The following is a 19,221-nucleotide window of genomic DNA, read 5'->3' on the forward strand; positions in this document are numbered from 1 at the left end:
CCACCTGCTTCGGCCTTCCAAAGCGCTGGGATTACAGGTATGAGCCACCGCGCCTGGCCCGTTTATCTTTTAAAACTTATTTTTACTGTACCTTTTCTATGTTTAGCTATGTTTTATTTATTTATTTATTTATTTATTTATTTATTTATTTATTTATTTGAGATAGGGTCTCGTTCTGTTGCCCAGGCTGGAGTGCAGTGGCGTAATCATAGCTCACTGCAGCCTCGACCTCCTGGGCTCATGCGATCCTCTTGCCTTGGCCTCCTAAGTAGCTGGGACCATAGGCAGGTGCCACCATGCCTGGCTAACTTGTAAATTTTTTGTAGAAACGGAGTCTTGCATTTGTTGTCCTCATTGGTCATGAACTCTTGGGCTCAAGCGATCCTCCCACCTCAGCCTACCAAAGGGCGTGAGCCACCATGGCTGGCCTAGATATCTTTTTTTTTCCTTTTCTTTTCTTTTTTTTTTTCTTTTTTGAGATAGAGTTTTACTCCATCGCCCAGGCTGTAGTGCAGTGGCATGATCTTGGCTCACTGCAACCTCCACCTCCTGGGTTCAAGCAATTCTCCTGCCTCAGCCTCCTGAGTAGCTGGGATTACAGGCACCCATCACCATACCTGGCTAATTTTGTATTTTTAGTAGAGATGGGGTTTCACCATGTTGGCCAGGCTGGTCTCCAACTCCTGACTCAGGTAATCTGCCTGCCTCGGCCTCCCAAAGTGCTGGGATCACAGGCATGAGCCAGTGCGCCTGGCCCTGGCCTAGATGTCTTATGTTCAGATGTACAAACACTTCCCCTCGTGTTACAGTTGCCTTCAGCATTGAGTACTGTAACATGCTAAATAGGTTTGTAGCCTAGGAGCAGTGGACTAGACCATATAGGTTTGTGTAAGTACACTCTGTGATGTTCACAGGACAACAAAATCGCCTAATGATGCATTTCTCAGATGGTATCCCCGTCGTTAAGTGATGCATGACTGTATTTCCTTCCAGTCTTTTTTCCTATTACACAAGTTGTGGTTTTATTTATTATTTATTTTTATTTTTTGAGATGGAATCTCGCTCTTTCGCCCAGGCTGGAGTGCAGTGGCACGATCTCTGCAACTTCTGCCCCCTGGGTTCAAGCGATTCTTCTGCCTCAGCCTCCCAAGTAGCTGGGATTACAGGTGGCCGTCACCATGCCCGGCTAATTTTGTATTTTTAGTAGAGACAGAGTTTCGCCATGTTGGTCAGGCTGGTCTCAAACTCCTGACCTCAGGTGATCCTCCCGCCTCGGCCTCCCAAAGTGCCGGGATTCCAGGTGTGAGCCCCCGTTCCTGGCCACAAGTTGTTTTAAACAGCTAGATTGTGCATTCTACTTTTTCTCATCTTATTGCATCCTATGGGAAGCACCTCCCTGTGCTACTGTGATATCACCTGCTGTCATCTGAATGGTTCCCTGGAGGGAACGGACTGTAGTGTGGTGTGTGGCGTGCCACCTGCTTCCTAGTCACATTGCCCGGTGGTCTGGGGATGGGGACAAGGACTGGGTGGTCGGACTGCCTTGGGCCTCCACCCTCAAAGCTGTCCCAGAGAGAGAAAGTGTCCCTCCGAGAATCCCCAATTGACAGGGGAGCCACACCTTGTGCCTGACCTTGGAGATGGTGGCAGCAGAGGCTGTGGCTGGGCTTGGTGGTGTCCTCTCCCTTCACTGCACCCCGGCTGCTGCCTTTGCAGGGCAGAACTAGACTCCCAGGCTGGGGAAGGAGGTGGCCAGCCTGGAGCAAAACCGAGTTGGCTGAGACAGCCAAACTCCAGGAGAGAGAAAGGGAGAATTCTGCTGCTTTTGTTCCTGTTCCAAGATCTTGAGAAAAAAAAAAAAAAAAAAAAGCCTCTGGGAAGAGTGACAGGTGGAAGAGCCAGGGAAGGACGGTCCCCCCAGTCCTGTTGGCCCTTCGGGCTCCCTCACCCACCCATGCAACTGTCCATCTGTTCTCCGAGGGGCTGGAGGCGGCCACATCCATCAGAGGCTGGGACCCTGGGCAGTGGGCAGCTCGAGATGTGTGTGGCAGAGGCCGGGGCCTGGCAGTGGTTTGTGGGGAGGGGAGCACGCTGGAGTCTGCTCTGGGAACGGGGTTGTGGCTGCCTCCCAAAACATGAGCTCAGCCTCCGGCAGAGGATCTGGCCAAGGGACAGGGCCTGGACTGGTGCCCTTGCTGCCCACCCAGTGGAGAGGGGAGGGCCTGTATCCTCAGAGCTGTGCCACACAGGGAGCAGCATTTGAGGGGGACCTTTGAGAGGGTCTCTCACGCTAGGAGGTGGTGCAGGGCTACAAGGGAGAGGTGGTCAGAGCAGGTGGGCAGGAGGGCGGTTTGGGATCCACCTGGGGGCAAAGTCCTGGGTGGAGCAGCGTGGCGAGGGACAGCCTGGCCGGGTGTGACCGAGCACACCTGGAGGCTGGTGCAGACAGGGTGGTCAGGGACGGCCTGGCTCCAGTGGTGACATTGGAGCAAGGATTCAAGTGATGAGCAGGAGTCGCCCCAGCTGCCGTTCAGGGAAAAACATCCAGGCAGAGGGAACAGAGGCTGCAAAGGCCCTGAGGGCCTGGCATGGTGGCTCACGCCTGTAATCCCAGCACTTTGAGAGGCCGACGCAGGTGGATCACTTGAAGTCAGGAGTTTGAGACCAGCCTGGCCAACATGGTGAATCCTCGTCTCTACTAAAAATACAAAAATTAGCTGGGCGTGGTGGCACACATCTGTAATCCCAGGTACTTGGGAGGCTGAGGCAGGAGAATCGCTTGAACCCGGGAGGTTGAGGTTGCAGTGAGCTTAGATCACGCCATTGCACTTCAGCCTGGGCAACAGAACGAGACTCCATCTCAAAACAACAAAAAAAAGTTGGGGGGCTGGGCTGCAGTGACCTGGATCCTGGGTGAGGACTGATGGGACTGATGAGCACAGGGGCCAACCATGTGCCATTGTTTTCATTTTAAAGATGAGACCATTGGCTGGGTATGGTGGCTCATGCCTGTAATCCCAGCTCTTTGGGAGGCCGAGGAGGGCAGATCACTTGAGGTCAGGAGTTCGAGACCAGCCTGGCCAACATGGTGAAACCTCGTCTCTACTAAAAATAACAAAAATTAGCCGGGCGCGACGGCACATGCCTGTAATCCCAGCTACTCAGGAGGCTGAGGCAGGAGAATGGCTTGAACCTGGAAGGCAGAGGTTGTAGTGAGCCAAGTTTACACCATTGCACTCCAGCCTGGGCAACAAAGGAAGACTCTGTCTCATAAAAATAAAGATGAGACCACCGAGGCTTGGAGTCTCAGCTGCGTTGCCCAGGGTTACAGGGCCAGAGCTGAGACTCATGCCAGACTGAGCGCCTGCTGCCTCCCCAGGGGTGGGGTGCCTGGGGGACCAAGTCCAGTATCAGCCCCACACATTTGGCTCATGCCCCAGACAGGTGGATGGGAGGAGGACATACCTGTTCCCATTAGGTTGGTCACAACTGTCCCCTAACATTCCTGTGGCCTTGCCTCATGCTGGGGATCCAGGAGATTGAGGACAAGTATGTGTGGGAGTGTTACCCACCCTTAGACGGGGAGTTGGGCTATGTGAGGCAAGGCCCACCTCCTATATGCTATCCTCAGCTGCTCTCTAGTACACACACAGGGCTGGGCCCAGAGCATTTTTTTTTTTTTTTTGAGACGGAATCTCTCTCTTTCACCCCGGCTGGAGTACAGTGGCGCAATCTCGACTCACTGCAACCTCCACCTCCTGGGTTCCAGCGATTCTCCTGCCTCAGCCTCCCAAGTAGCTGGGATTACAGGCATGTGCCACCACGCCTGGCTAATTTTTGTATTTTTGAGTACAGACGGGGTTTCACCATATTGGCCAGGCTGGTCTTGAACTCCTGACCTCGTGATCCGCCTGCCTCGGCCTCCCAAAGTGCTAGGATTACAGGCCTGGGTCACCGTGCCTGGCCTGTTTTTGTTTTTGAGATGGAGTCTCACTCTGACACCCAGGCTGGAGTGCAGCGGCACGATCTCAGCTCACTGCAACCTCCACCTCCCGGGTTCAAGAAACTCTCATATATTGCTGGTGGGAATGTAAAATGGTACAGCTGCTTCAGGAAAGTTTGGCAGTTCTTCAAAGTTTGTTTTGTTTTTTGAGAGAGAGTCTCGCTCTGTTGCTCAGGCTGGAGTGCAGTGGTGCAATCTTGGCTCACCGCAACCTCCACCTCCCAAGTTCAAGCAATTCTTCTGCCTCAGCCTCCCAAGTAGCTGGGATTACAGGCATGTGCCACCACACTCAGCTAATTTTTGTATTTTTAGTAGAGTTGGGGTTTCACCATCTTGGCCAGGCTGGTCTCGAACTCCTGATCTCAAGTGATCCACCTGCCTCGGCCTCCCAAACTGCTGGGATTACAGGCGTGAGCCACTTCACTCGGTCAGCATTGTGGTTCTAGTTCACTGAGCTCAATGTCCCTGTACCCCGTGAGTGTTCCAGACCTTGGCACCAACCTGAAGTGCCCGAGGTGGGGCCCCCACCCCCACAGAGGATGGTGCCTTTCTCTTTCCTTTCCATACATTTCTAGGAGCCTTCCCAGCCCCAGGAGAGCAGGTAGGATTGTCCCCATTTTAAGTGACTTGTCTGAGATGTTGGGCAAATTCGTCCCTTCAAGGGCAACTTCTCGGCTCTCCACTGACCACATCCTAAACTTTTTAATGGCATCAGGACGGGGAAGCCAAGCCCGCTCTTCTGTGGCTGGTGGGGGTGGGGGCAGGGCTGCCTCCTAATGTCCCTGACGTGGTCCAGGATCGATCTGACGGGGCGGGGGTCCGGCTGCCAGCACCTGTCTGCCTGCCTGGTGGCCTGGCCACGGGCTTCTCCATGGGGAGCTGGCTCTGTTCTTTCCAGGGTAAGCCATCCGGGCCGCTCTTGCCCTGGGTTCCCCGGCCGCCTCTGCTGAGCAGAGACTCTGTTCTCCTGGTTTGGGAGGAGGGGGCACAGAAGTGGGGTTTGGAGTTCCATTTGGTTCAGGAAGAATGCCCAGCAGAGCCTGGGATTCAGGACGGTGTGGGCTGCTGGAGGGAGGAACCCTTCTTTAGGGCTGGATGCTGCAGAGGCTGGGCCTGGGGTGACCACAGGAGAGAGGTGAGTTTCAGACGGACCCCTCCCTGGTCGGGGTGGGCTGGGGGATGTAGACTCGGTCCTCCCTGGAGCAGGCATGGACTGAGGGGTGGAAACAGGTTGGGGTGGACCCAATGCGGGGACTGCCGGAGGGAAAGTGGCCTCTTCAAGGAATGCTGTGGAGACCCCATTCCTTCCTTCGTAACCTCTGCCTTTGAGCACCTTCGGGAGAGAAAAGGAGGCTCAGGAGAGAAAGCCATTTGAGATTTTTGGGGCACTGATGCATGTTCCTTTGGGGCCACCAGGAAGCGGGAGTCAGGTGTGTGGCCCGTCTGCATTTCAGCCCAGGGGGTCCAGGGGATGAGAGGGGAGTTGGTGTGAGTCCACCTCCTGGGGCTCATGTTCTGGGGGTGTGCAGACATGCACCCCAGTTAGCCTGGGAGTCAGGTTGTGCAAACCAAGGGGGAACAGAGCCCCATGGGGTTGGGAGGGAGAGAGACACAGTGGGCCCCTTGAGATGGCTGCAGATGAGGGGATGTGGAGTTGCTATGGACGGGCATGAGGACTTCCTTAGGTGATCCTAAGGGTAAAGTGCTGTACTCAAGGCAGAAGGATGGAGCTTTGCCTGAAACAGCCTGCTTGATGCCTGTGGTATTGGTAAAATGCCTTTTTTTCTTTTCTTTTATTTCTTTTGAGAGGGTCTCACTCTGTCACCCAGGCTGGACTGCAGTGGTGCGATCATGGCTCACTGCAGCCTCCAACTCCTCTCTCAGCCTCCCAAGTAGCTGGTGCGCACCACCATGCCCTGCTAATTTTTGTATTATTATTTATATATATATATATTTTTGAGACAGAGTCTCATTCTGTCGCCCAGGCTGGAGTGCAGTGGTGCGATCTCAGCTCACTGCAAGCTCCGCCTCCCGGGTTCAGGCCATTCTCCTGCCTCAGCCTCCCAAGTAACCGTTAGGCACCCGCCATCATGCCTGGCTAATTTTTTTTTTTGGTTTTTTTTTTTTTTTTTTTTAGTAGAGACGAGGTTTCACTGTGTTAGCCAGGATTGTCTCGATCTCCTGACCTCGTGATCCGCCCTCCTCGGCCTTCCAAAGTGCTGGGATTACAGGCGTGAGCCACCGCACCCGGCCATTTTTCTATTATTTTATAGAGACAAAGTCTCGCTATGTTGCCTCCTGAGCTCAAGTGATCCTCCCGCCTCGGCCTCCCAGAGTGCTGGGATAACAGACATGAGCCACCACACCCGGCCAGCATGATGCTATATTAAGAGCACCTCTCATTCCCAGAAGCACCCGGGTTTGAATGTTAAATCATGTGGTCGCCTTATTTATAGCCCCTCCTTTGTGGTCACCGTGCTCATTGGTACATCAAAGGCTCTGAAAAGTCCTGCAGACAAGTACCCTTCACTTTGTTGAAGTTGCTGTTTCTCAAGCTTCTTTGAACTTGGAGGTTAAATTGTTTGTTTGTTTGTTTGTTTGTTTGTTTTCATAATACCTAGGAACAGCCTGTGGAGCTATGTTCTGTGGAACATTTAAGAAGGAACCAGATCCTAGCAGAGGACACTTTTTTATCTGCCCCCAAACCACTGGGGCAGAGGGCTGAGTTCATCACACATTCACTTCATCACATGTCAACATTGTGGGTCCCTGCAAGGTCCCTCTTGGTTATTTTATTTATCTATTTATTTATTTATTTATTATTTGAGACAGAGTCTTGCTCTGTGGCCCAGGCTGGAGTGCAATGGCACGATCTCAGCTCACTGCAACCTCTGCCTCCTGGGTTCAAGCAATTCTCCTGCCTCAGCCTCCCGAGTAGCTGGGATTACAAGCGCGCGCCACCACACTGACTAATTTTTGTAGTTTTAGTAGAGACGGGGTTTCGCCATGTTGGTCAGGCTGGTCTCGAACTCCTGGCCTCAAGCCATCCGCCTGCCTTGGCCTCCCAAAGTGCTGCAATTACAGATGTGAGCCACTGCATCCGGCTATTTTTTATTTTCTATTATTTTTACTTTTTTGTAGAGATGAGATCTCTCTATGTTGCCCAGGCTGATCTTGAACTCCTGGCCTCAAGCGATCCTCCTGCCTCAGCCTCCTCAGTAGCTGGGACTACAGGCTTGAGCCACTGTGCCTAGCTTCCTCTTGGTGTTTCTTTTCTTTTTTTTTTTTTTCTTTCTTTTTTGAGATGGAGTCTCGCTCCCGTCACCCAGGCTGAAGTGCAGTGGCGCAATCTCGGCTCACTGCAATCTCCACCTCCTAAGTTCAAGCGATTCTCCTTCCTCAGCCTTCCGAGTAGCTGGGATTACAGGTATGCGCCACCATGCCTTGCTAATTTTTGTATTTTTAGTAGAGATGGGGTTTCGCCATGTTGGCCAGGCTGGTCTCGAGCTTCTGACCTCAGGTGATCCGCCTGCCTTGGTCTCCCAAAGTGCTGGGATTACAGGTGTGAGCCACCACACCCAGCCGGTGTTTCTTAATTGATTCATTTTTTGTTGTTCCCTATTCCTCTTCCCCTACCCCCAGGCCACCATGCCCTGTGCTGGATGTCGGGATGCTCCTGAACTCTGCTGTGTCACCAAGAATCACATCATAAACACTGTCCTACATAACCTGGACAAATAATGTTTTAAAGGTTGCTTAATAATCTGAATAATGTGACCATAATTTATGTAACTGCTCCTTGGTTTGGAGGCTCTTAGATTCAGTTTTTTATTTTTGTGAAGGTCAAAATAGTGAGTCAGTTTTTCCTTTTCTAAATTATTTCCTTGGGAAATAGACTAAAGAGTGCATTCCTTATTTTATTTTTTCTTTTAAAACATATTAAGATTTCTGGCTGGGCACTATGGCTCACACCTGTAATCCTAGCACTTTGGGAGGCTGAGGTGGGTGGATCACCTGAGGTCAGGAATTCGAGATGAGCCTGGCCAAAATGGCAAAACCCCGTCTCTACCAAAAATACAAAAAATTAGCCAAGCATGGTGGTACACGCCTGTAATCCCAGCTACTCGGGAGGCTGAGGCAGGAGAATCACTTGAACCCAGGAGGTAGAGGTTGCAGTGAGCCGAGATCATGCCACTGCACTCCAGCCTGAGCGACAGAGTGAGACTCCATCTCAAAAAAAAAAAAAAAAAAAAAAAAAAAAAATTCAGGTGAGCCTCTGAGCCCTGAGAAGGAGGCATAAATGAATTAGGAGTGATTTCTTCCGTGGAATTGCTAGACTGGGGGAAGGATGAGCCAGTAGAGCAATGGCGATTTGCAACCTGAGTGCATGGGTGGTTGCAGGGCCTCCTGAGATATGGAGGATGGTGGAGGAGCTTTGGCAAGAGCTGAGGAAGGAGGTCATGTGGGTTCAGGATGTTGGGTGTAAGGTCCTGGAGGAGGCAGGTCTTGATCCTGACTGAGGTGAGCAAGAGGGGATCAATTTGTTTCTTTCTTTCTTTTCTTTTCGTTTTCTTTTTCTTTCTTTCTTTCTTTTTTTTTTTTTTTTTTTTTTTGAGACAGAGTCTCACTCTGTCTCGCCCAGACTGGAGTGAGTGCAGTGGCGTGATCTCGGCTCACTGCAGCCTCTGCCTCCTGGGTCCAAGTGATTCTCCTGCCTCAGCCTCCTGAGTAGCTGGGACTTTAGATGCCTGCCACCACACCCAGCTAATTTTGTGTTTTTTAAGTAGAGACGGGGTTTCACCATGTTGGCCAGACTGGTCTTGAACTCCTGAACTCAGGTAATCCACCCGCCTCAGTCTCAAAGTGCTGGGATTACAGGTGTGATCCACCACGCCCAGCCGGGATCAGTTTCATTCTACATCTTCCTGTGTCATTTGAATCATTTACAAGGAGAGTGTATTTGTGTCTTAAAGAAAAAAATGTGGTCACATGTAGGCAGTAGCTAAAGCTGTAGCAGTTGGTAGATTATTGTGGTGGGTGGGGGGCACCATGTAGATCGGGGTCCCCTGCTACTGATCAGAGAAGAAGGTTTGTTGTTGTTGGGGTTTTTTGTTTTTTGGAGATGGAGTTTTGCTCTTTTGCCCAGGCTGGAGTGAAGTGATGCGATCTCGGCTCACTGCAACCTCCGCCCCCCAGGTTCAAGTGATTCTCCTGCCTCAGCCTCTCGAGTAGCTGGGATTACAGGTGCCCGCCACCATGCCAGGCCAATTTTTGTATTTTTAGTAGAGACGAGGTTTCACCATGTTGACCAGGCTGTTCTTGAACTCCTGACATCAGGTGATCTGCTCACCTCAGCCTCCCAAAGTGCTGGGATTCCAGGCATGAGCCACTGTGCCCCGTGTAATTTTTTTCTCAGAGGCAGTGTCTCCCTATTGCCCAGGCTGGATTGCAGTGGTGGGATCATGCCTCACTGCAGCCTAGAATTCTCTTTTTTTTTTTTTTTTTTTTAGAGATGGGGTCTTGCTATGTTGTCCAGGCTGGTCTTCAACTCCTGACCTCAAGTGATCCTCCTGCCCTGGCCTCCCAAAGAGCTGGGATTACAGGCACAAACCACCATGCCCAACCAGGGTGATGAGTTTTAGATAAAGCAGTCAGGAAAGGCTTCTCTGAGGAGGTGAGGGAGCCAGCTCTGTAACTTTCCTGGGGCAAGAGGTCGTGGGAAATACCCACACCCACATCATTCGAGGTGGAGCCCTCCCTCCCGCTCCCCCGGGTACCACATTTTGGGTTCCTTCCTCAGTTACGCACATGGCGTGGCAAGCTGAATTGTAGTTGCTGGCATCCCCACTCCACCCCCTTGCCGGGCCCCGTTTGGCCATGCCTCTTGTCCAGTGTCTGACACAGAGTCTGGCACCTAGTAGGTCCTCAGGAATTGGGGTCCCTCCTGATGAGATTGAGCAGGAAAAGCCAGTCCCCACCTCCACAGGCAGGGCAGGACCCGCGTCCTCGCAGGCGGAGGGGAGAATGCGTCATCTGGGCGCCCTTTTTATCCCCACCGGCTGCAGGACCACGCCACCAGCTGCAGCCACCCTGCACCGTGTCCTTAGGCCCTTGTCATGCTTTGAACTTGAAACTTGCAGTAAATTCCTTTGTGGCTCTTGTCTGGGTGGGAATCACTGTCTGGGGAATAAATCAACTGCATGTAGGAGGTTTATTTTAATTTTTTTTTGAGACAGAGTCTTGCTCTGTCGCCCAGGCTGGAATGCAGTGATGCGATTTCAGCTCACTGAAACCTCCGTCTCCTGGGCTTAAGCGATTCTCCTGCCTCAGCCTCCCAAGTAGCTTGGATCACAGGCACCTGCCACCACGCCCAGCTAATTATGGTATTTTTAGTAGAGATGGGGTTTCACCATGTTGGCCAGGCTGGTCTCAAACTCCTGACCTCAGGTGATCCACCCACCTCGGCCTCCCAAAGTGCTGGGATTACAGGCATGAGCCACCTTGCCCAGCCTATTTTAATTCTTTTGGAGATGAGGTCTCGCTCTGTCGCCCAGGCTGGAGTGCAGTGATGAGATCATGGCTCACTGCAGCCTCCACTCCCTGGGCTCAAGCAATCCTCCTGCCTCAGCCTCCCGAGTAGCTGGGACTACAGGAGCGAGCCACCATGGCTGGCTAATTTTTGTATTTTTTTGTAGAGACAGGGTCTCACTGTGTTACCCAGGCTGGTCTCAAACTCCTGGCCTCAAGCAATCCTCCTGTCTCAGCCTCCCAAAGTGCTGGGATTACAGGCATGAGCCATGGTGCCCAGCCTCATGTGAGGTTTAAGTCTGTGTTGCTGGGCCCAGCTGGAAGTCACTAGTGGCTCTTTGCCTTCGCGGGGGTTTGCTGGGGAACTCAGAGGGCAGTGAGGCCCAGGCTGTGCCCACAGGGAGCTCCCAAACAGCTTGCCTTTGGCCTGCGAGGATATGGACCGAGGAAGCTCCTGTTAACCAGGTTTCAAAAACTCCATCGTATATACATTGGCTCCCCTGGGAGGAGACGTAGGACATGGAGAATGTCAGCGCTGGAAAGGACCTTAGCTATTTCTGACCTAGTCCTTTGTTATGTCATGGAGAAACTGAGGCACACATCTGGGAAGGCCAGACTTGGCTCGCCCTGGCCAAGCCAGTATGTCACTGATGACTCCCTGGAGGGATAGGGAATTTCCCATGGTTTCTCAACTGCAGGAAGCTGAAAATGTCTCAGCGTGCATGGAATTTGATGAGCGTTTTGTCCCTGTGATGCGGGGGCAGCCGAGAGTCCCACTACTCAGAGGAAGAATGAAGCGAAGTATCACGTGCAGTTGCCATGGGCTCGTGGCTTGGATTTTTGCAGCTGTTGAAACAACTGGTCCCTGGGCCTGTGACCCCTGGGAGGGGAGGGAGTCGGGGAGAGATTACCTGAGGGTCCGCCTGGGCCCGGACAGCTGGGGACAAGGACAGCTGAGCAGGCAGCTTCTCACCAAGAATAGCCATGCTGGGTCACCTTCGACCTGGGGACCCTTCTCTGGGCTCTAAGCACAGAGGGCAGGTAGAAACAGACCTTAGCTGGGCTACAGTGGTTCTGTTCAGTTAGCAGAGGTCACAGAGCTCTCTCTGCATAGGAAAGTGCCCTAGAAATGGATATGGGGTAGGAGCTGGCACCTGCCAGGCACCCACTGTGCGTGTGGTCAAGAGGGAGGGTTCTGGCTGGGCGTGGTAGCTTGCACCTATAATCCCAGCACTTTGGGAGGCCAAGGCAGGAGGGTCACTTGAGGCCAGAAGTTTGAGACCAGCCTTACCACATGGCAAAACCCCGTCTCTAATAAAATACAAAAAAAAAAAAAAAATAGCCTGGTGTGCTGGCACGCACCTATAATCCTGGCTACACTGGAGGCCGAGGCATGAGAATTGCTTAAACCTGGGAGGCGAAGATTGCAGTGAGCAGAGATTGCACCATTGCACTCCAGCCTGGGGACTCCAGCCTGGGCAACAGAGTGAGACTCTGTCTCAAAAAAACAAAAGAGGGAGGGTTCTGAAGCCAGACTAGCTGGGTGTCCTACTCGGCCTGAGTGACCTTACCCTCTGTTTCCAAATCTGCAAGGTAAAAATATGATGTATTCTTATAATGAATAGCCCAGCGTGGTGGTGCATGCCTGTAATCCCAGCTACTCGGGAGGCTGAGGCAGGAGAATCACTTGAACTCAGGAGGTGGAGGTTGGAGTGAGCCGAGATTGCACAAGTGTACTCCAGCCTGGGTAACAGAGCGAGACTCCATCTCAAAAAAAAAAAAAAAAAAGTGCCCTGTCCATTGAGGAGCATGCAGTTGGCACTTCATAAATGCAGCTGCTATCTTAATTATTTTATTTTGTTATATTTATTTTTTGTAGAGACAGGGTCTTGCTATGTTGCCCACACTGGTCTTGACCTCCTGGGCTCAAGTCATCCTCCTGTTTCAGCTTCCCGAGTAGCTGGGATTACAGGCTGCATAACTGCACCTGGCTTATTTATTCATTTATTTATTTATTTATAAGAGATGGGGGTCTTGCTATGTTGTGCAGGCTGTTCTTGAACTCCTGGGCTCAAGTGATCCACTTGCCTCAACTTCCCAAAGTGCTGGGATTACAGGTGTGAGCCACTGTGCCTGGCTTATTTTCCTTCCTTCCTTCCTTCCTTCCTTCCTTCCTTGCTTCCTTCCTTTCTCTTTTTTTCTTTCTTTTTTTCTTCCTTCCTTCCTTTCTTTCTTTTCTTTCTTTCTTTTCTTTTTTTTTTTGATGGAGTCTCACTCTGTCGCCCAGGCTAGAGTGCAGTGACGCGATCTCGGCTCACTGCAACCTCCGACTTCCGGGTTCATGCCATTCTCCTGCCTCAGCCTCCTGAGTAGCTGCGACTACAGGCGCCCACCACCACGCCTGACTAATTTTTTATATTTTTAGTAGAGACAGGGTTTCACCATGTTAGCCAGGTTGGTCTCAATCTCCTGACCTCGTGATCCGCCCGCCTCGGCCTCCCAAAGTGCTGGGATTACAGGCGTAAGCCACTGCGCCTGGCCTCTCTTCTTTTCTCTTTTTTCTTTTCTATTCTTTTCTTTTCTTTCAGATAGAGTCTTGCTCTGTCACCTAGGCTGGAGTGCAATGGTGCCATCTTGGCTCACTGCAACCTCCGCCTCCTGGGTTCAAGCAATTCTCCTGCCTCAGCCTCCCAAGTAGCTGGGACTACAGGCATATGCCACCACGCCTGGCTAATTTTTGTATTTTCAGTAGAGATGGGGTTTCCCCATGTTGGCCAGGCTGGTCTCGAACTCCTGACCTCAAGTGATCCGCCCACCTTGGCCCCGCAAAGTGCTGGGATTATAGGCGTGAGCCACCATGCTCAGCATGAGACTGGGTAATTTATAAAGGAAAAGAAGTTTAATGGACTCACAGTTCCATGTGGCTGGGGAGGCCTCACAATCATGGTAGAAGGCAAAAGGCACGTCTTACATGGCGGCAGACAAGAGAGAATGAGAGCCAAGCAGAAGGGGAAACCTCTTATAAAATCTTCAGATCTCGTGAGACTTATTCACTACCACCACAACAGTATGGGGGAAACCACCCCTGTGATTCATTAAGCTCCCACTGGGTACCTCCCAAAACGTGGAAATTATGGGAGCTACAATTCAAGATGAGATTTGGGTGGGGACACAGCCAAACCAAATCAGTCCTGCTGCCTATTGTCTGGGAGCTCAGGTGAAGCACCTGATATCTCTGAGCCTCAGTTTTCTCATCTGTGAAATGGGGGCAATTGGGGATCAGATGAGCTATCGTATGTTAAGCTCTTAGCACAGAGTCTCATGCAAGCCTGTGATTACTATGGTTGTTTGTTTTTTTTGTTTTTTTTTTTTTTGTTTTTTTTTGTTTTGTTTTTTTTTTTTTGAGACAGAGTCTCACTCTGTCACCCAGGCTGGAGTGCAGTGGTGCTGTCTCGGCTCACTGTAACCTCTGCCTCCTGGGTTCAAGCAATTCTCCTGTCTCAGCCTCCTGGGTAGCTGGGATTACAGGCACCCACTACCACATCCGGCTAATTTTTTTGTATTTTTAGTAGAGACGGGGTTTCACCATGTGGGCCAGGCTGGTCTTGAACTCCTGACTTCAGGTGATCCGCCCACCTCAGCCTCCCAAAGTGCTGGGATTATAGGCATGAGCCACCAAACCTAGCCACCCTTCCACTTTCCGGGGTCTGTGGACCCTGAGGCCTTAGGCTGGGCTGCAGCTTGGGGAGGGGAGAAAGGGGGAGGCCCAGGAGAGAGTTAGGAGGGTTTTCTTTCCTGTCCCAAGAGAGACAGAAGGGGACATCTTTATGCAAGAAGTCTGTGGCTGTGTCCCTCTATTAGGAAATAGGCTGGTAGCCTTTTGTGGGCCCTGTAACCGTCTGAGGGCGAGGATGGGGGTCTCGGAGACCACTTGCACAACACCTAGGTCCCACATAGGGGCCACAGGGGGTCTCGGGTCAACAGCTGAGGGCCTGAGCCCACCTGGTGGGGGGGTGGCTTGTAATCCTTGAGAACGGGTTCCTCCCTGGCCCAGGACTTACAGTTTCCTTGAGAAGTGGAAAGCCATTGCTTCTTTTTTTTTTTGTCTTTTTAAAAATGAAGTCTTTCTCTTTCCCCTAGGCTGGAGTGCAGTGATGTGATTTCAACTCACTGCAATCTCCACCTCTCGAGTTCAAGTGATCCTCCCACCTTAGCCTCCTCACTAGCTGGGATTACAGGCACCTGCCACCACACCTGGCTAATTATTTTATTTTTAGTAGAGATGGGGTTTCACCATATTGGTCAGGCTGGTCTTGAACTCCTGATCTTAGGTGATCCGCCTGCCTCGGCCTCCCAAAGTGCTGGGATTACAGGCATGAGCCACCGTGCCCGGCCTGGAAACATTGCTTCTGAGGGCGTACTTTCCTGGGGACGCTCTGGAGGGCTGGAAGAGTAGGGGGAGACCTGAGGAGGACCTGCCCAAGACCACACAGCCAACCATTCCTGCCTCGGTTTCCATGGCAAGACCATGTCTCTACAAAAAAATACAAAAATTAGCCCAGTGTAGTGGCAGGTGTCTGTGGTTTCAGCTACTCGGGAGGCTGAGGTAGAGGATTGCTGGAGCCCAGGAAGTCAAGACTGCAGTGAGCCACCATATCGCCAATGCACTCTAGTCTGGGTGACAGAGCAAGACCCTGTCTCAAAAAGTAAATAAACAGGGGTTGGGTGTGGTGCCTCACGCCTGTAATCCCAGCAATTTGGGAAGCCAAGGCGGGCGGATTTCTTGAGGTCAGGAGTTCGAGACCAGCCTGGCCGAGATGGTGAAACCCCATCTCTACCCAAAAATACAAATCAGCCACCTCCCAACCCTAGACTCTGTGCTCCTGGGGCCACCCAGGGGCCAGCCCTAACAGCCACCTCTTTCCCTTTCCCTCTCCTTCTCTGCAGGCTCCCCACTGCACAAACAGTCATCTGGACCCTCCTCCTCCCCGGCCGCAGCTGCTGCCCCCGAGAAGCCGGGCCCCAAGGCGGCGGAAGTGGGGGATGACTTCCTGGGGGACTTTGTGGTGGGCGAGCGGGTGTGGGTGAACGGCGTGAAGCCAGGCGTGGTGCAGTATCTGGGAGAGACGCAGTTCGCACCGGGCCAGTGGGCTGGCGTGGTGCTGGACGACCCGGTGGGCAAGAATGATGGCGCGGTGGGCGGCGTGCGCTACTTCGAGTGCCCGGCCCTCCAGGGTATCTTCACGCGGCCCTCCAAGCTGACCCGGCAGCCCACGGCCGAGGGCTCGGGGAGTGATGCCCACTCCGTGGAGTCGCTGACTGCCCAGAACCTGTCATTGCATTCGGGCACGGCCACGCCCCCGCTGACCAGCCGCGTCATCCCCCTGCGGGAGAGCGTCCTCAACAGCTCCGTGAAGACTGGCAACGAGTCGGGATCCAACCTCTCAGACAGCGGCTCTGTGAAGCGGGGCGAAAAGGACCTGCGCCTGGGGGACCGCGTGCTGGTGAGTGCGGGCAGTACTGGGCTCTGGGCCCAGCTTCCCTTCCCTCCCCTGCTCCGCCCCACTTGGCGAAGCTGGACCCCCCTGGGCTGGGCAGGGTGGGGACTCGAAGGGGGCTCGGACAGGGTCCAGCCTGGGACACCCATTCCTTATCAGGACCATACAGAGTGACAAGAGAGACAGGTAATGTGGGCTCTGGAGACTGTTGCTGTGTGACCTTGGGCAAGTGTCCTAAACTTTCTGGGCCTCGCTCTTTCTATCGGTAAAATGGGATATTTATTTATTTACTTATTTTACTTATTTATTTATTTATTTATTTTTGAGATGGAGTTTTGTTCTTGTCGTCCAGGCTGGAGTGCAGTGGCGTGATTTCAGCTCACTGTAACCTCCACCTCCCAGGTTCAAGCAATTCTCCTGTCTCACCCTCCCTAGTAGCTGGGATTACAGGCATGTGCCACCACGCCCGGCTAATTTTTGTATTTTCAGTAGAGACGGGGTTTCACCATGTTGACCAGACTGGTCTTGAACTCCCGACCTCAGGTGATCCACCCGCCTTGGCCTCCCAAAGTGCTTGGATTACAGGTGTGAGCCCCAGCGCCCTACCAAAATGGGAATTTTAATCGTACTTCAGTCATAGTTGGAGATGCATTAAAACGTATCACTCATTTAGACAGTGCCTAATACTAAGTACCCATACATTTTGGCTATTATTGATATTATCTATTGATCCAGCTCATCCACATGCATGTGCCAGGCATGTACTGGAAAAGGCTGGGAACTGGAGTTCTCAAGACCCCTGGTCCTGGCCAGGCACAGTGGTTCGTGCTTGTAATCTCAGCACTTTGGGAGGCTGAGATGGGAGGATCACTTGAGCCCAGGAGTTCAAGACCAGCCTGGGCAACATAGTGAGACCCCATCTCTACAAAAAAAAATACAAACAAAATTAGCCAGGCATGGTGGCATGACCCTGTACTCCCAGCTACTCAGGAGGCTGTGGTGGGAGGATGGCTTGATCCTGGGAGGCAGAGGTTGCAGTGAGCCAAGATAGTGCCACTGCACTCCAGCTTGGGTGACAGAGCCAGACCCTGTTTCAATAATAATAATAATAATAAGGCCAAGCACGGTGGCTCACACCTGTAATCCCAGCACTTTGGGAGGCCAAGTCGGGCAAATCATCTGAGGTCAGGAGTTTGAGACCAGCCTTGCCAACATGGCGAAACACCATCTCTACCAAAAATACAAAAATTAGCTGGCTGTGATGGCGTGTGCCTATAATCCCAGCTACTTGGGAAGCTGAGGCAGGAGAATCACTTGAACCCAGGAGGCAGAGGTTTCAGTGAGCCGAGATCATGCCACTGCACTCCAGCCTGGGTGACAGAGTGAGACTCTGTCTCAAAAAAGCAATAATAATAACAGTGGTAATGGTTATAACCCCTTGCCCAGGGCCAGGAGGTGCAGACACCTTATCAGCTACAACTCGAGTGATCAGTGTTATTGAAGTTGAGAGAATTGGGTCACTGGAGCTGACAGCTTCCTGCCAGGGGCCCCTCTTCTCCACTAGTCCCAGCTGTTGGGGCCAGGTTGGAAAGGGGACAGTGACCCCCAAGTCTTCTAGAGTCTGAATACAGCAGTGACCTGGGTTGGTGGTAGTCAGGTGGATGGGACAGGGCTGTGTCTTGCTGTCCAGCCAGGCTGTGGTGGCCTTGGGCTAACCCTGCACCTGGGACCACAGTGTTGGGAAGAGACTCATAGGGTACAGGGAAGGCCCTGACATGGACTTCTGGGCCTGGGGTGTGAGGAGCTGTCGGTGGGGCAGGGGTCCCTGTGTCCTGTCTGCAAGGCTTCCTGGGGGAAGGTGGTTGGTCATTCCAACCCGAGGTGGGGAGCACAGGCTTGGAGCTCCAAAGCCGAGTGGAGAAGGGCAGGGGGTCTGGGGACCCAGAGCAGGGATCCCCAAAGCATATTGCTGCCTGGGATCCTCCCTTCCTGCTCTGAGAACCTGGCAAAGGTTTCTCCTGGAGGTTTCTGGGAGGAGCCTTTGGGGTTGTGGGTAGGGGAGCGAGAGGTAATGTTTACACCCATGGCCCCGTTGAATCTTCAAGCCTGTGCTGTGATGCTGCGATGTGGTTTTATCATCCTCACTTTATGGATGGGGAAACTGAGGCTCAGGGAAGTTTTTGTTTGTTTGTTTTTTGTTTTGTTTTGTTTTTCTAGTCTCACTCTGTTGCCAGGCTGGAGCGCAGTGGTGCGTTCTCGGCTCACTGCAACCTCCACCTCCCAGGTTCAAGCAATCCTCCTGCCTCAGCCTCCCGAGTAGCTGGGGCTACAGGCACGCACCATCACGCCCTGCTAATTTTTTGTATTTTTAGTAGAGATAGGGTTTCACCATGTTGGCCAGGATGGTCTTGATCTCTTGACCTACCCACCTCGGCCTCCCAAAGTGGTGGGATTACAGACGTGAGCCACCGTGCCCAGCCTCAGGAAAGTTTAATAACTTGTCTGAAGTGACATGTGACAAGTGCCTGCCCACTGTTCACTGAGTTGTATTTCCTGTCTGCCCTGCCCTGGCCATGGTGAGGGCTCTGCTTTTCTTTTCTTTTTTTTTTTTTTGAAACAGGGTCTTGTTCTGTTGCCCAGGATGAAGTGCAGTGGTGCAGTCATAGCTCACTGCAGCCTCAAACTTGGACTCAAGCAATCCTCCTGCCTCAGCCTCCCAAGAAGCTGGGACTACAGGCCCATGCCACCATACCTGGCACCACGCCTTTGCTAGCCTGGTTCCTCTGGACAGAACTTCCCCTGGGTGACCTGGTGGTGAGCGTGGCCAGATGTAGTCCCTGCCCTCCAGCCATCTCCAGCTTACAGGAGAGAGACCACGAGGCCAGTGATCGCAGACATCAGTGTCTCCCTACAGAGTCTGCCAAGTGTGCTGTGGTGCTCTCAGAGCCTGGCCTGGTGGGGAGGCTGCCCCGAGGAATGGTTCCCCCGAGGGCAGAACTTAGGGAATGGCCTGGCATTGGCCTAGTGATGTGGGGCCAGAGCATCGTGCCAGGCAGAGACCCATGGCCTGAGAGACTAGAGAAACTGTGAGAAGAGGCCTGGCATGGTGGTTCACACCTGTAATCCCAGCACTTTGGGAGGCTGAGGCAGGTGGATCACCTGAGGTCAGGAGTTCGAGACCAGCCTCACCAA

At 52.5% G+C, this 19,221-nt stretch overlaps 1 protein-coding gene across 3 annotated transcripts in view; it reads left to right on the forward strand.

The window, feature by feature from the left end:
* CLIP2 (CAP-Gly domain containing linker protein 2) overlaps nucleotides 1–19,221 on the forward strand; it is a 116,529-nt gene that overhangs the window by 33,563 nt on the left and 63,745 nt on the right. For all 3 annotated transcript variants that reach the window (NM_003388.5, NM_032421.3, XM_047420800.1), the window contains exon 3: nucleotides 15,479–16,035. In NM_003388.5, coding sequence (NP_003379.4) covers nucleotides 15,479–16,035 — 557 coding nt within the window. The remainder of the gene's footprint in view (nucleotides 1–15,478; nucleotides 16,036–19,221) is intronic.

This window comes from Homo sapiens, chromosome 7 (genome assembly GCF_000001405.40).
Source record: "Homo sapiens chromosome 7, GRCh38.p14 Primary Assembly".
NCBI classification, from domain to species: Eukaryota; Metazoa; Chordata; class Mammalia; order Primates; family Hominidae; genus Homo; species Homo sapiens.